The following is an 18,312-nucleotide window of genomic DNA, read 5'->3' on the forward strand; positions in this document are numbered from 1 at the left end:
ATAGTCAGGACAACTGGAGGCATCTCCAAGAACAAAAGACACAAAATCAATGAAGTATATTATGTTTCAGACACATATTATAATTCCATTTTGTAAAACTCAGCTGTCCAAATCTGTAAAAGGGCAATGCCCTGTGCACTGTAGTTTTCTGAGGGAACACTTGCAAAAGATACACAATTTTAGTGGTTACCATTTAATTACTTTGAATTGGGTTGTCACTGTTTATTGATAAAAGATTATTAAAATTGTAATTACATTCTCTATATCTAGAGATATAGCCCTCAGTTTTCATATCTATAATATGGTTAGTTAGTAAATATTTCTCAAAGAGTTCCTAAGATAAATAAATGGTAGAAGACATAAAAGCCCCCAACAATTGAGCTTGAGTCTCTCTTCCTATCTCCTACTTCTCTTGCTCCCTCACTCTATCTCATTCCTGTTCCTGTCTCCCCATTTCCCCATCTTTCTTTTTTTCTGTCTTTCCTCTTCACCCCACTCTCCATGCTATGCACATATGCATATTTTTAATAAAGATCTAACAAATTCCAAGACATTATTTTTGTCCTGATGAAGGTAGAGGGGGAACTAGACCAGTGACACAACAGTCTGCTAGATGGTACATTTTCCAGAAGTTGCCAATATGCTAAGAAATCCTCAGATCCTTGAAATATATGTCACTGCTACATCTGATAAATCTAGAATATAGAATCAGGAGTAAAAGATGATTTTCTTTTTCATGAGCTAGCAAAATTTTAGCAAGGAAAGTAGGTTCTTTATCATTCAGATTCTTCAGCATTTAGGACCCAGTGTACAGATTCTGCCATGTGTTCCAAACTGTTCACTAATTCATAGAATAAAGTGCTTACAGAAGAACTGGAAAACATTTACACTGGCTTGTACAGTAAGTTAGCAAACAAGCATTTATTAGACAGTTATAACTGCTCAAAACTCACTAGAGATGCATTCACTTTAGTTTAAGGGTTACACGTTTCCCTATAAATGGCTTGTTGTGAATAATGTAAATGTGCATCCCTGAGAATAAATTAAATACATTTCCTGATATTGTTAATGTGTTAGAACAGTTGTACCATAAATCACTTGAATAGCATTTATAGATTACTATACTCTATCTAGGCCAAGCTTGTAAATGTCTGTGTAACTCATAATTCAATGATTTGCAACCCTTGAAAGAAAACCTTAGAGATTTTTCTCTTGTTTTCTTTCCTCCCTTCTTTTTTTTCTTTTATGTTTCATTTTGGTTCTTTTTTTTTTTTATTATTATTATACTTTAAGTTTTAGGGTACATGTGCACATTGTGCAGGTTAGTTACATATGTATACATGTGCCACGCTGGTGCACTGCACCCACTAACTCGTCATCTAGCCTTAGGTATATCTCCCAATGCTATCCCTCCCCCCTCCCCCCACCCCACCACAGTCCCCAGAGTGTGGTATTCCCCTTCATGTGTCCATGTGATCTCATTGTTCAATTCCCACCTATGAGTGAGAATATACGGTGTTTGGTTTTTTTTTCTTGCGATAGTTTACTGAGAATGATGATTTCCAATTTCATCCATGTCCCTACAAAGGATATGAACTCATCATTTTTTATGGCTGCATAGTATTCCATGGTGTATATGTGCCACATTTTCTTAATCCAGTCTATCATTGTTGGACATTTGGGTTGGTTCCAAGTCTTTGCTATTGTGAATAATGCCACAGACACTTCTCAAAAGAAGACATTTATGCAGCCAAAAATCACATGAAAAAATGCTCATCATCACTGGCCATCAGAGAAATGCAAATCAAAACCACTATGAGATATCATCTCACACCAGTTAGAATGGCAATCATTAAAAAGTCAGGAAACAACAGGTGCTGGAGAGGATGTGGAGAAATAGGAACACTTTTACACTGTTGGTGGGACTGTAAACTAGTTCAACCATTGTGGAAGTCAGTGTGGCGATTCCTCAGGGATCTAGAACTAGAAATACCATTTGACCCAGCCATCCCATTACTGGGTATATACCCAAAGGACTATAAATCATGCTGCTATAAAGACACATGCACACGTATGTTTATTGCAGCATTATTCTTTCCTCCCTTCTTGTATGATATCGACAAACATCTAGCTCGAAGAAATTCATTTTGAATGCCTTTATAAAGCTTTACTTTTCAATAGAAGCTGGAGGATTTAGTGTATAACTAAACGAGAGGGAATCAACAAAAAGCATATGGAGTGACTTTCCACTGCACACGGTTGGGTCATCATTCATGTATCCTTTCCCCTTTGCTCTACCAAGGCCTCCTCCTTGTAAGATTCAGAAATCCTCTATGGCCATGCAAGGCGTGACAATTTTCCAATGCCCCTCAGCTTCCAGTTTCCTTTGTCTTCCCTCTTCTTTCCTCCACCTCCTTCTCTGCCTCCTCTTCTTCTTCATCATCTCTCCCTTTTCTGCTTCCCCTCCCCAGGGGCACCTGCACACATGCATGCACACACGCACACAGAGAGGGAGAGAGAGAGAGATAAAAACATTTATTGTAGAAACCAGTTCAGGCATATTTTGTCTGTTCCTACCACCATGAATTTCATTAAAACTTATGGCATATCAGAAGCAAAATGAGCATTCAGCTTTGGAAACACTAAAGGTTATTGGTTTCAGTATCCAGTCATGCGCCACATAACATTTCAATAATGACTAACCACATGTATGAAGGTGGTGCCATATGATTACAATGGAACTGAAAATTTCTTATTGCCTAATATTTACTGTATTATAATTTTTATCATTATTTTAGTGTACTCCTTCTACTTATATATATTTTTAAAAGTTAACTACAGACTGGATGTTATGGCTCAGGCCTGTAGTCCTAGCACTTTGAGAGGCTAAGGCAGGCAGATCACTTGAAGCCAGGAGTTCAAGACCAGCCTGGCCAACATGGCGAAACCCTATCTCTGCTAAAAATACAAAAATTAGCTGGGTGTAGTGGCACACGCCTGTAGTCCCAGCTACTTGAGAGGCTAAGGTATGAGAATCACTTGAACCCGTGGGGAAGAGGTTGCAGTGAGCTGAGATCATGCCACTGCACTCCAGTGTGGGCAACAGAGAGACCATTTCAAAAACAAAACAAAACAAAAAAACAAAATTTAACTACAAGACAGCATCAGGCAGCTCCTTCAGGAGGTATTTCAATGGATGCCATTATTATTGTATGAGATGATAGCTCTATGCATGTTATTGCCCCTGAAGACCTTCTAGTAGGACAAGACAGGGAGGTGGAAGACAGCAAAATTGATGATCCGGACCCTGTGTGGCCTAAGCTAAAACGTGTATTTATATCTTAGTTTTCAGCAACAAAAAAAGTTTAAATAGGAAAAAAATTAAAAATAGAAAATATAGGATAAGGATATAAAGAAAGAAAATATTTTTGTTAGGCTATACAACGTGTTTGTGTTTTATGCTTAGTGTTATTGTAAAAGAGTCAAAAAGTTAAAAAAATTAAAAGTTTATAAAATAAAAAAGTTACAGTAAGCTGAGGTAAATTTATTATTGAAGAATGGAAAACATTTTAAAATAAATGGAGTGTAACCTAAGTGTACAATGTTTATAAAGTCTACCATAGTGTACAGTAGTGCCTTAGGCCTCCATATTCACTCACTGCTCACTCACTGGCTCACCTGGCACAACTTCCAGTCCTGCAGGCTCCATCTGTGCTAAGTGACCTATAGAGGTGTACCATTTTTTAAATCTTTTATACCATATGTTACTCTACCTTTTTTATTTTTAGGTGTATTTAGATACAGAAATACCATTGTGTTGTAATTATCTATAGTATTTAGTATACAGTATTCTGTACAGGTTTGTAGCCTAGGAGTAATACACTATCCCATATAGCCTAGGTGTGTACCAGGCTATCCCATCCAGGTTTGTGTAAGTACATTTTATGATATTCATACAATGATGAAATTGCCTAATGATGGATTTCTCAGAACATATCCCCGTCATTAAGTAACATATGACTGTATGTCTTTGAAACCATTCTTCTAAGTAAAAGGAATTTTTAAAAATGGTGTTTCTTTGTTCTGGGCATTTTGCATACATTATCTCATTATTAAAAGAGTATTAACTCACAGTGTAGCATTCTTCGTCCCTCTTTATTAGTGAAGAAAGTGAAAGATACAGCAATGAAATAACTAATCAAACTCATAATACTTGAGGTTGCAGGATCAGAATTTGAAACTGAGCCTCATTCAGGAGCCAACATCTGTATCCTTTCAGCTCCACCTAATTGGTCATAACTGTAGCAAACTATTTCAATCTGATGAAAATCTGTCATGCCTATTCAATAGAGTGCTCTGAAATTTTATCTCTGTTCACTGTGTCTGAGTTCCCAAAACTGCAGTGGCCTGCTCCCTCTCACATTTACCTGTGTTGCTTTCATTCACCCCTTTCTGGTCATCCCTTGGGCTTCTTGAGGGAATACAATCCAAATTATCCTTCAAATGTATTGTTTATTTCTGAGGCTATATTAATTGAGAGTGGAGAATCATTATGTGTTGTTCTGTTTTGTGGTGTTATAGCAGAATACCCCAGACTGCATAATTTATAAAGGAAAGACATTTATTTTCTTTCTCGTTTTTTTGTTTTTGTTTTTGTTTTTGTATTATTTTTTAAGATGGAGTCTTGCTCCTTCGCCAGGCTGGAGTGCAGTGGCGCAATCTTGGCTCACTGAAACCTCCGCCTCCCAGATTCAAGCGATTCCCCTGCCTCAGCCTCCTAAGTAGGTGGGACTATAGGCACGCATCACCACGCCCAGCTAATTTTTTGTATTTTAGTAGAGACGGGGTTTCACCATGCTGGCCAGGATGGTCTCAATCTCCTGACCTCGTGATCCACCCACCTTCGCCTCCCAAAGTGCTGGGATTACAGGCGTGAGCCACCGCGCCCTGCCAAAGAAAGACATTTCTTACAGTCTGGGAACTTCAATATCAAGATGCCAGCATCTGGCAAGGGTCTTCTACGTGCATCATCCCAAGGTGGAAGGGCAAAAAAAGCATCAGTGGTGGGGGACAAGTTTCTTTGTTTTTTATTAAGGAACCCACTCTTGGGATAACAGAATTAATCTACTCATGAGAGTGGAGTCCCCATGGCCTAATTACCTCTTAAAAGTCCCACCTCTCAACACAGTTGCATTTGGGATTGTTTCAAACCCATGAACTTTGGGGGACACATTAAAACCATAGCACCTTTCAGTGGGGAGTTTCTCTCTGTGCCACATGTCTGTATCTACCATCCACAATGACCCTGCCTTAGGAGTTACCAATGCTTCCCATGCCCACTCATCACATCCCAGAGTCTGACTGTCTGTGCCTGACCAATTTTTATTTTGTTTTTGGTGGTGCTTGATTGAGTTGCTCCAGGCTTAGTGTAATTGGTGGTGAGTTGGAGCTTGATAGTCTTTGGTTTTCATTAGATGATGCTTTGCTGAACTGCTGTCTCATAGCACAGTCCAGCATGAACGCCTCCCCTCGCCTGAGTATCCCACCATTGCAATATGGACACCACCACTTTGTATTTGTAGAATGCCTTTTGTTTCTTCAGAGTGCTTTCAAGCTTATCTCACTTCATTGCCTTCACATCATTGTGAATTACATGGGGTAAATCTGAGTGAAGAGACTGAGACATGGAGAAATGAATTTTATTTCTGCAGACAGCGACTTTAGTTTCTTTTTTTCTTTTAAGTACACTTCTTCCAATGAGTCCTGTGTAATTAAAATGTGCTAAAATGGGTTCTCTAAATCTTTAACTTTCTTTGTAGGATGGTTTTGACATTGGAACACCCAGATCATTGAACAGTGTACTTGGAAGGTCTTAGTCACCCATATAATTTAGAATGAAGGCTGAGACTCATTAGCCACTGGAGTAATAATAAAATGGTTCTTCTTGCTATTGAATTAATATTTATATAGCAAGTATAAAAAGATAGCACTTGAAGTACTTGACATCCAAGAAGACAGCAAGAAGGAGATATCTGGATTTTGATCTCTGTTTTGCTTATTACGCTATGTGACTTTGGCATGTTGCTGATATTCTTTCAAGCTCAGTTTACTGATCTATAAAACTTAGTGTAATTACTTTTTAGAATATCAAATATAATTTGGCTTGGCATCACAAATGCATACAAATTAGTAATATTAAAAACTTTAAAACATGGCCAGGCACGGTGGCTCATGCCTGTAATCCCAACACTTTGGGAGGCCAAGGTGGATGGATCACCTGAGGTCAGGAGTTCAAGAGTAGCCTGGCCAACATGGTGAAACCCCGTCTCTACTAAAAATACAAAAATTATCCCGGCTTGGTGGTGTGCACCTGTAATCCCAGCTACTTGGGAGGCTGGGGCAGGAGAATTGCTTGAACCTGGGAGGTGGAGATTGCGCCACTGTATTCCAGCCTGCCTGGGTGACAGAGTGAGACTCTATCTCGAAAAAAAATAATAATAATAAAATAAAAAAACAACTCAATCAGATTCCTAATTCACTTATAATAAATATTTCTAATTGCTCATAGCTTCCTGAAAGTAAGGAAAGAGTTTTCTTCAAGAAGTATAAAAAGAAGTGACTATTTCAACTTTTTAAATAGTGAAAATATAACATTTAATTTTTTAAAATGACTCAATTCCTCTCTTTGAGCTATGTGATATATGTCTTTACTGTCAATAATATTTCGTTATTATGATGGCTATTATTAAAACTTTTAGTATTAAACTACTCTATAGCAGCAGTTTTGAGCTCAGATGTGTGATCTATATTCCACTTTACCTGTGATTTTTATTTCATCTAATATGTGTGTTTCATGTCTAAGAAGAAAAGGCCAGATTTTTGCTTTGAATTTTAACATGTATCTATCATCTAGGTTATCCTAGAAGTCCTCTTTTGCATCATTTTAATCCCAAAAATTGCTTATCTGGAAAAAGAATGTAAAAAATCACTTATTCCCATGGAAACTCACAGTGTCAGTTGCCAGGGACCCTCTCCATAAAATATCACTACTGATGAGTCATACTGGGCATAGTGATCTCTTGTTGAGTTTTGCACACACTTCAGCTTTTTAAAAATTTAGATGTTTCTTTCCAAGTCTTTTCTAATATCTTTTCCATTTTGGGTACAATATAACTATTACCTTAAAAAGTATCTATGAATAATATTATGCAAACTGTGATTTCTTAAAGAAGTATGTGGTATATTTGGCTATATTAGATTTATTATATCCCAGTAGTATTTCTTAGTTCTTAATATTTATTTGTAGGATTTCTAAATCATTACTTTTTTGGTATGGTTGTACTAGTAGAAAAATAATAGAATATAATAATAATAATTCTGAAATTGCACATATAAGTCCTTTGGGTATTTTGACCTTCAAATTAGCTAATAAGCATAAATTCTATAGAGAGCATCTTCTCACCTCCCAGATTCTGTTCACATTTCAATAAGGCCTGTGGACAAAATGGACCTTCTCAATTTGGCTGCATGTCTTGTTTTCCAGATGCTAATTTCTATTTTGAGAGGCAAGTACATAGTGATGCTGAGTAAACAATTGTGGAAAATAAGTTTAAGATTTAGAAACAGCCCAAACTCATCACATTCTCCTTTTTACCCTATGTCCTTTCATGTCTGTATACTCCTTCACACTGGCACTTTGGGCAAGTAATTTAACCTCAATATGTCTGGAAAATTGGAGTAATAGTGCACAACTCAGAGGCCAGTGTGAGGATTAATACATGTAAATCACTTAACAGTGTCAGGCACATAAGTACAAAAATCAGTTTAAATATTGTGTGTTTGACTAATATTAACTACCTGCTATGTAACAGGTATTATGGTAGACATCAGTGGTATGATGAAGAGACCTTGGCCCCAAGGAACATACAGTCTACTGAGATATACAGGAAATTCCAGATCAATCTCAGCAGAGCCATAGTGTTAAAAGTAAAAAAGCCAAGGGTATTAAAAAAGCATATATTGGCACTTCGCACTTTTTTTTTTTTTTTTTTTTTTTTTTTTTTTTTTTTTTTGAGACGGAGTCCTGCTCCGTCGCCAGGCTGGAGTGCAGTGGTGCGATCTCAGCTCACTGCAACTTCCGCATCCCTGGTTCAAGCGTTTCTCCTGCCTCAGCCTCCTGAGTAGCTGGGGTTACAGGCGCTTGCCACCACGCCCAGCTAATTTTTTTGTATTTTTAGTAGAGACGGGGTTTCACCGTGTTAGCCAGGATGGTCTCAGTCTCCTACCTTGTGATCCACCCACCTTGGCTTCCCAAAGTGCTGGGATTACAGGCACGTGCCACCATGCCCAGCTAATTTTTTGTATTTTTAGTAGAGACGGGGTTTCATCATGTTAGCCAGGATGGTCTCAATCTCCTACCTCATGATCCACCCACCTTGGCTTCCCAAAGTGCTGGGATTACAGGCGTGAGCCACGACACCCGGATATTGGCACATTTTCTAACCCCTGGAAAGATCAGTGACATCTTTCAGGAAGAGAATGTTTTTCTGGAAACCTGAGAGGTGGGTAAGGGCGAGTTAGGCAAAGTGGCGTAGGAGAGTGATGAGGAAAGAGGAAAAAAAATGAAAGAATACATCCTGTATGAGGAGAGCCCAGAACAACAATGTGACTAGAAAGAATGGACCTAGATCGAAGTCCCATGTGGGGGCCTCTATGTTGCTAGCCCCAAGTATGCAACTGGATAACACCTCTTCTAAGAGCAGATCAAGTGACTTTGGCTAACCTGAGAGGAAAGGGGCCCTGCATTCTTTGGTGGAAGAAGAAAGGAAAAGGTGAAGCGTGAAATCCCAAACACATTCTAGATCCATTGTTTGGCCCCTTTTCTTTGGTTTGGTAGGGAGTGGGAATGGAGGGTGCACAAATATTAAAACAGAAATGTCATAGAAGTGGCCCCTTCTACTTTTCTGGGGTCTAGAGAAAGACCCAGTACCCCTACTCTGCTGGCAGAGACTGGAATTTTTGTCCTGGGAGTCTCATTCCAGATATTATTCTGGGACTCCTCACAGACCAGGAGGCCTCAAGCAATTTATCGGCTACTTTGGCTCGACTTTAAATTTGGTTCTTGAATGGCTGGGGCTTAGGATAAAGAAAGAGAAGTAAGCATTTCATGGGAAGGAAAAGAGGAAGGAGGAGGAGAAGGAAAGGAAAGAGAGAGAAAGTGAAAGGAGAGAGGGAAACTGAGATTGAGATTAAGAGTTTCGTGTGCCCTCATTTCAAATGGCAACTGTCACCTAAGGACCCTTTGGGTGGCATATAGATAAATATGAATAAGGCTTGCTGCCTGCCTTTGAGGAAACCACAGTTCACAAAAGATGCTCCCAGTCTAGGGGCCTGGCTTGTCAGATTTAGAGTTAATTGGAAGGAGAAGTGCTAGATACATGTTTTAATATAATGGGACTGACAAGACCAGGGGCAAAAGCTATGATATCATTAAGACGATATAACATTCCTGGTAAGACTTCACTCGTGTTATTCATTAGTGTCTTCTAATATTGGTGTTCCAGTGCCATTTATATTTCTCTCATTGAAAAAATTTCCAAAACTCATTTGCATGAAATTTGCACCACCAATTATTAAGTTTACCACATATGCTTACCTCTATGTCTAGGTCTTTTTCTGTATATCTCTATTTCTGTCTCTACACAGACCTTCCAAACACAAACATACACACACAACTATTCTGTTTTCTGAACCATTTCAGTATATGTTGTAGGCATCATCCATTTTATCCCTTAATATTGATAATTTAATATGTAATCCTAAATACAGGGATATTTTCTAGCATAATCACAACATGGTTTAAAACTTCAGCCTCAGTGCAATACTTATAACTAGTCTGTAGTCCATATTTGTAGTTCTCATGGGTCGCAATAATGTCCTTTATAGTGTTTATATTTTTTTGATTACAGGATCCAGACTGTATTGCATTTGAGGATCATATCTCTTTCATCTCTTTCTTCCTCTCTCAATGCCAAATAACTGACTTTTTTGGAGAATTCAGCCCAGCATTTTGGCTTGTACTTGGTCATATTTTTTCTTCACTCCCAAGCTCCAACTGTAATATAAACAGGTGACAGCCTCGATTTCTGTGATTGGATATGCCATACATCATTTATCTGTTCCAAAACCTTTGACTGGATTGTAAATATGCAACTTCACAACTCCTTAGTGTCATAAAATATCAGACAGAAAGACTATGTGAGGATGTCCCTGCCTATTATAAAATCTTCACCCAAATAACTTAGCTAAGCAAAAAATCTACTGACATTTATGCATCATCCTAACTTCCTCTTTGCAGTAGGCCAGCAAAGTCTTACCAGGAATGTTTTATCATCTTGATGATATCATAGCTTTTGCCCCTGGTCTTGTCAGTCCCGTTAATACTAACACATATATCTGGCACTTCTCCTTCCAATTAACTCTAAATCTGACAAGCCAGGCCCCTAGACTGGGAGCATCTTTTGTGCACTGTGGGCTCCTCAAAGGCAGGCAGCAAGCCTTATTTATTGTTCTATTCCTAGCTTGGCTCTCTCATTCTTTAGCCTGTGATTTATCTTGCTTTTTGATTAGCTTATAAGCTATAGTTCCTTGTGTCTGTTCCCTCTCTTTCCCAATCTCTAATTACCATTGTCCATACTAAATGCTTTTCAGATTACAATAACTGCAATCACAATACAGCTCTGTGGTGCTTTTTTTTTTTTTAACCAGTTATCTTCAACTCAACATACTCCACAAGCACCAGTGCTTTACAAGTGTAACAGTTACTGAGGAGCAAATTAGACCTCCCAGATTGAAATCCCAGCTTAGATATCTACTATAAACTTGTTATGTTGTTTGATCTTTAATTTCATTATCTGTAAAAACAAGGATATTAAAAGTACACCTAGCTCGTTGGGAGGTTGAAGAGATGTGTGAGATAATAAATATGGAATGTTCAGCACAGTTCTAGGTATGTATTGACATTTTTAAATGTTTCCTGTTGCTATTATTTTGGGAATAGCATAGCACCCAGAATATAGTTTTAGTTTCCCTCACTATTATCCATTTATTTCTTAAAAGACCAGTGGAAGCTGTAAGGAGCTATTCCTCTATGCACAGATATGTATGCCTTGTTAAATTCCTTAAAATTAAGGTAAAGTATAGGAAGAGACAGTCTTCACTGAAGGACCCCAGAAATCTGAACCTCCGGCCCTTCTAACTGACCAGATTAGTTTATAGTGTTTCAATCAGGTTTGCATTGATGTTATAGTAAACATTCTTGTGTTGTATGCTATCTTTTTACCTATGTAAAATGCATTAATGATAAGAGTGCACTGCACTTGAAGAATCCAAAACTCCCAGGAATTCAGGATACACATTCATTAATCTCATTAAACTCATTAGATATCTCAACCCCCTGGGGAGGCTAAGTGATAAATATTCTCTCTACTTGAGACAATTGAAAGGCCAGACTGCCCTTGCAAAGCTTGCGTTGTTACTCACTAACACACACAGTCTGTTGAAATCTATTGTCGAGTATCTCTAAAGCCCATGAGCCTATTAGGGGAAAGATAAAATTTAAAAAAAAAAAACACACCAGAAGCACCAAATTAATATATAGAATATGAGGTAGCGATAAATGATATGGAGAAGAAAAAATATGTAGGAAGACAAGGAGTAACATGGAAGAGTTGCTGATATTTTTACGTAGCATGATCAGAGAAGGCCTTTCTAATAGAGAAGGCTTTGAGCAGTGGTGACCAGAAGCAAATAAAGCAGCAAGTCATGCAGGTACTGGAGGAAGAGCATTGCAGGCAGAGGGAACAGCAAGATCAAGGCCCTGGGGCAAGGAAATGCTTGGAGCTCTCCAAGAACAACACAGAGGCCAGAGTGGTGAATGAGGTGTAGGCAGATAGTGTAAGGAGGTGAATGGGCAGATTGTGTAAGCAGGCTATGAGCATTCAGATATAATGCTGGACCCGATTGTGTATAACTTTGTAGGCATAGAAATGGACTTGGTTTTCACTAAGTCGGGAAGTCATTTAAGGGTATGGAAGAGAGGAGTTAAATAATCTGAACTGAGCTATTTTAAGAAGATAGTTCTGGCCCCAGAGGTCAACATAATCTGTAGAATGGGAAGATTGGAGTCACTTATTAGGTTATTGTTATAATCTAAGTGAAGAGTGATAGTGACTTTTACCAGGATAGGAGTGGCACAAATGGTGAGAGGTAGATGGGTTGTGCATTCTACTTTGAAGATGGAGCTGAAAGGATTTGCTCAGGTTTGGGTTGTAAGGTGTAAGAAAAATAAGGGAGTCAAAATTGACTTCAAACTTTTTGACCTGAGCCTCTAGATTGTCGGAGTTGCCATTAACAGAGATGGGAAAGATTAGAAGAGGATGCTGGGGATGGGGATATCAGTTTGTTATTGTGCACATAAAGTTCAGAGACAATGGTTTGAGGGCATTGGTTTTAAAACTGGAACATGCATTAGAACCACCTAGAGGACTCATTAAAACAAGATTGCCGAATCCAAACCCCGAAGTAGATTTTTCTTTTGTCTTTTTTTACCCTAGGGTTTTTGATTTAGTGGATCTAGAATGGGATGGGACCCAATAATTTGTATTTCTAACAAGTTGCCAGGTGATGTTGATGCTGCTGGTCCTGGGACCACACTTGAAGAATGACTTTTCTAGTATTGAGAGTATCCATGGAAGGCATGGCTAGGGTAAAAAAAGCCCCAGGGCATTAGCAGGGGCGAGTTGAAATATAGTTAGTGGAATGCTTTCTGCACCTGGACTGCTGGAGTACCCCCTTCGGTTCTACTTTCTTCTACCTCATGGCCAATATTGATATGTGTGAGCCCATGGTCAACAACAGTTTTTGAGTTTTGATCCTACTTCACATTCGGTCACAAAGAACCCTGTGAAAGGAAATATTCTAAACACATGAAGAGTTGACTCAGACACTAGCTTTTGCTTCTTCTCTAGTTAAGCCTAATTTATCTAGATAGGCTGCAGACACCAACCTAACTCCATACCCATTTCTATGGGAAGAGATATGCCTAAAAAATTAATTTGTCTGACAAGTTTACATTTAAGAATCACATTTTTTTTTGCTTTAGATGTCATATAATTGAAAGCAAATTATTTTCTAGGTACAAACTTAATTTGATAATTGTATTGTTCTGAAATTAATTCTGGCATTTAAAGAAGAAAACCGTTTCATCTTATAGAGAAATATTCTAGAGAGAAAAATAGAGTGAACATCTACTTCTTTTTAAAAGTTATAGCTTTAGGGTACATGTGCACTACATGTACCCTAAAACTTAAAGTATAATAATAATAATAATAAATAAAAAATAAAATAAAAAATAAAAAAGTTATAGCTTATAGCAAAACGCACAAAAAAAAGACAAGCAAACCTTTATAATGAAAACAGTTTTGCAATAATGATCATGACAGTCTATGTAATGGAAAAATTCTTTTGATAAGAATTTATCATTACATTAGTGGCCTTTAATCATTTTTGACCATGGTCTACTATAAAAATGTGTTTTATATCACAAAAAACACACAAATCATTGTTTACCTATTGATGTTATGAATATATATATATAATCTTTTGAAATAATTTTTACCCTGAGTATATGACAGATGTTTACTATGCTATGCCCTATCAGTTTTAATATTGCCGGCTTTTACCCACTAAATTGAGAACCAAGATGGCATGATTAAAAACATGTACTCACAAGGCTGATAGGGTTGGAATCTTGGCTCTGCCTGTAACTGTGTGATCTTGATGAAATTGCTTAACCTCTCTTTGCCATCAGTAAAATGGGAATAATAATATATCTACCTTATAAGGCAGTTATAAGGATGAAATGAGTTAAAGAACTTAGAATGGTGACTGACATATAGTAAACACTACAGAATTATTAGTTACTAATATTGTTTTCACAACCCAATAATATGTAATGGCTTGAAGTTTGAAAAAACAAACAAACAAAAAAACACTTATTTGGATGACTAAGACTAACCTCACCCACCTGCCACCTTATCTTCCAACACATATAAAAAATTAGTAAATTAACTTTCTCAGAGGCAACTTAGTAAGTTCTTCTGTTTTGTGTGGAGGGTGAAATAGCTCCATTTCCTTTTAAATCCCTATTATGTTCTTTTAAAGCGTAATTGTAAGTCTTTTGGGGAGACAAGGTATGATCTCTTGAAACTCCAGACTATAAAAAGAAAATTCTTCCTTAGATGATGTTTTATTCATTGGTGTGGTGTCTTGCATTTAATGTATTTTCAAAAACTATTTGTTTAAAATGAGTGTAAATCTTAATAGAAAAATTTTCAAGGAGACCAAGTGATGCATATAGATAATAAATTAATAACTTTGTAATTTACAATGATTTCACATTCATGTGTCTTAAATCTGCAATTCAAATTATATAACATGAAATGCTAAATTGAAACATAAAAATTTGAAACTCTTCAAGAGTCACCATGTACAGTGTACTAGTTATAGATAATTTATCAAAACACATAGTCCCAAATTATAATGGTTCAAATGCAATGTAATTTTTGCTGATCACCCAGAAAACAGTCCACAGTGAGTTTTCCAGCTGTGGAAAGGGTAATCTGAATCTGTTACATGCATCACTCTGAGGCCCAAGCCCATAATGGGTGTGCTGTCTTCAAGCTTGACTTCCAATGTAATTCTGGTTACCCCTATTCCAGCTCTCTGGAGGGAGCCAGTGCAGGTTGGAGGATGACAAGTGGGATTTAGCATCAGGAGTGGAAGTGTCACATAAGACCTCCCATTTATTTGTCATTTGTCAGAACTCAGTAACATGGTCACTTAACTGCAAAGAAGGCTGGGATGTATGATCCAGTCTTGTGCCAACAATGAAAAAAGAAAATAAATTTTAATAACAAATAGCAGACTGCCAAACATCATTAAGTTCTATTGCAAAAAATCCTTGTTTAGCACTATTAGGTCAATGTTTTCTCATTATATTTGACTAGGAACCCTGGTTTTCTCTCTTGGCACCTCTTAACACACTATAGAAAACAACACACTTTGGAAAAGATGGTTGTCAGGAAACTATCAAATCTCATAATGAAAATAATCTTACATTTTCCAAGAACAATGAGAGAAAGATTGTTTTAACTTCTTCAAAATTGATTAGGACACAGATGCAGAACAAATAAACTATATATTTAACAAATATACAGTTAAATCATTATTAGCCGAATACCCTTGTAACAGTCACCCAGGTGGCAGAACCTTCCCAGCTACTTGGAAGGAAGAGCTTCACAACTTCCTCCTGATTATAACTTCCTTGCTTCCCTCAAAAGTAAATTCTGCCCTGATGTCTATGGTAGTCTTTTCCTTACTTCTCCTTACAGGTCTAAAACCAGAGTGGTTCAAACATGATCACTTAGTTCTGTCTTTAGATATGTCTTTAAATCTCTTTTAACCTAGCTTCTCCTCCCCTTGCTTGTTTTCCACCTTCATAGTAATTTATTGGTGAAGAAACAGGCCACCTGTCCTATAAACATTTTCAGTCTCTCTTTCGTGAATTGCATCTGCATGGTGAGGTTTAACATATTCCTTTATCCTTGAATTTCCTGTAAATTGGAAGTTGGATATCAAGGCTTCATTACTCTTTGACAAGACTCCTTCATAGAAAGTGTGCTGTTTACCAGAAAGCACATCATCTTGAGCGATATGAATACAAGTATTTAAATCAGGCAAAAGGCTTTGCTTCTAGAGATAACAAAATACGTGAAGGCATAATGTCATAAGGGAAGATTGAACTTTAAGGTAAATGCTGCTTTACAAAAGTGGTAAGTCATGAAGGGGTTTCTGTACTAGACACTAACTGGTTCTAACTGGATCATCTTCTTCCCTAGCAAATAAACATTAGCTATATAACCTTGATTTTTTAAAAATAAAACTGGTCCAAAGTTGACTTTTGGTTAGTTATTCACACATCATTTTCCCACTTCTATATGCAGGAAATTGACAATATGTCTTTATATAATTACTCTAGTGAAGAGAAGATCCAGAATTGTATTTGAGGAGTCTTGATCTAATAAAGAAATCATCCAGATAGATGTAAACATCCTTTCTCTTCTTTTTTCACTTATCCTCACACTCCTCCATCTCTCTTGTGGATAATTCATTATTTTATGGACTTTGTATAAACAGCTAATAGAGAGAAAGAAATAAGGATAAAAACACTAACATTAAACTTTCTATAAATAGCTATTAGAAAGAAATAAGGAGAAACAGTAATCTATCACTTGTTAGCAGCACCAGGAGAATTTTTATAAGATGAAGTGTGAAAATACTGCCTGAGATGAGGCTGAATCACGTTCATGGATTTCAGTCACCTACACAATCCTCTTTGCCTGTTTCTATGGGAAGAAATTTAGTAGGGGAGTAAGGTGCAGTGTTGGTTTTCTTTATATTAATATCTAATTATCCGAAACTATATGGTATGAAATGTGGATTACCTCAAGAAGATATTTTAGAACTATACCCATCAGACTTATACACATATGGACTGTGAGATCTGAGGAAGAAAATTCTTAAATCTTATCAAATTTCATCCCATCCCCATTCTTCTTTCTCATCTAGGTTTAGATGCGGAACTAAGGTTTAGAGTATATAAGTGAATTGTTCAAGGTTACATAGTAATTTGATTGATGTGTGTATGTTTTATTTTCTCTTTTACTTGATAGCTTACACTAAGCAGGTACCTAAGCCTTTACATGTATTCACTTGTTTCAGACATTAATTGATTACTTTATAAGATAGAAATGTAGGAAAGCACTAATCAGGAGTATCTACCAAGATACTTTCATTTTATTTTATTGACAAATCATTTGTTATTATTCTGCCACATGAAAAGAAGCATTCAAATTAATTGGTAAAATAGTGATAAATTATTGGTAAGCATTTAGCATGGAATTCATGTGCAGATAATTAAGAATAATTGCTTGGTTTCATGGGCCCTTCTTGATTATCCAGAGACAATTTGATTCAATTAAGTATAAAATTATAAGTACTGACAGATCCAAGTACAAAATCACATGGATAGTGAATGTGTATCAATGGTCCAAACTTTTACAATTAGAAGAAAAATTTGTGGCATGCTTTTTGCATATTTTAGTGCAATCCAACATAATAATTTTGGTTCATAGTCAAGACTCAGTGTACAGGTTTTGTTCTTTACTACTATATCTGAAAGAGGAATAGGAATAAAAAGCAAATAAAATATCCCACTTATAGAAATGGTGATTTGATGATCTTCATCCAGAGACTTTTATTTTTCCCATGACTTAAGAATCTATGGGCCTCGTTAGATTGAGGGTCTGGGATTGCATGTTGTGAACATGTTTAATGGTATTTGTTGAAAAACTGTGACATATAATTGATATTAAGACTTTCAGAGAGTGACATGAGAAGTAGAAGCCATGATCCAACATGCCCTAAAGGAATTAGTAAAGAAAGTAAGAGGCAGGGTGATGAAGAAACAGAATGGCGATGCAAAGAAAGGTTAGCACCTGAGGATATATGTATGTATATGTGTTTAGAAGCAGTTCTATACAGAATTTCCTAAGCATGAGTGGAAGTTTGCTCAAAAAGGAAGAGAAGAACATGGTATTGTTAGAAAAAAGACTGACAGGAGTGAGGCTTGATTAGTGTTCTGAAAACGGTGAATAGGATTTGGAGGACAGTGGAAAGAAGATTGTTCGAGTAGGAGGAGCTTGAAGGCCCACTGTGGGTAGACCAGCTGGATGAAATCTGGCAGGCCGGTTGACCTGGGTCAAGAACATTATAGGAACTGAGGCTACAGGAGGACATGTGGAGCCACAGGTATCATGATATTTGCAGGATATCTTTGGAGTTCACATTTTCACATTAATTTTGCCAGAAGGGCAACAGCATGCAGTTGTCCATGCTCTGTGGACCAAAGGCATTCCCAAATAAGAAGAAGGTTCTAGTGTATTGGCAATGTTGATTTTATAATTCCTTTTCTATATCTCTGTGTTCTAGTGTTTAAAAAATGATTTTCTCATGAAAATTTTCTGTGTGATTATTTTTATTGGTCTAGACTATCTGAGGTCACAGGGCAGTTTCTTCCTTTTTTTAAAAAAAAAAGCATTTAAACATTCAAAATATACGGATCTCTTACATTGTTGCAGACTATTTGAGAGTACAGTGTGAGTTTAAATGATAGAAATAGTCTCCGTGTGC

At 37.0% G+C, this 18,312-nt stretch overlaps 1 protein-coding gene across 2 annotated transcripts in view; it reads left to right on the forward strand.

Moving 5' to 3' along the window:
- Positions 1-18,312, forward strand: part of THSD7B (thrombospondin type 1 domain containing 7B) — a 912,174-nt gene that overhangs the window by 832,071 nt on the left and 61,791 nt on the right. The window lies entirely within an intron of this gene.

The sequence above is a fragment of the Homo sapiens genome, chromosome 2 (genome assembly GCF_000001405.40).
Source record: "Homo sapiens chromosome 2, GRCh38.p14 Primary Assembly".
In the NCBI taxonomy this organism is placed as follows: Eukaryota; Metazoa; Chordata; class Mammalia; order Primates; family Hominidae; genus Homo; species Homo sapiens.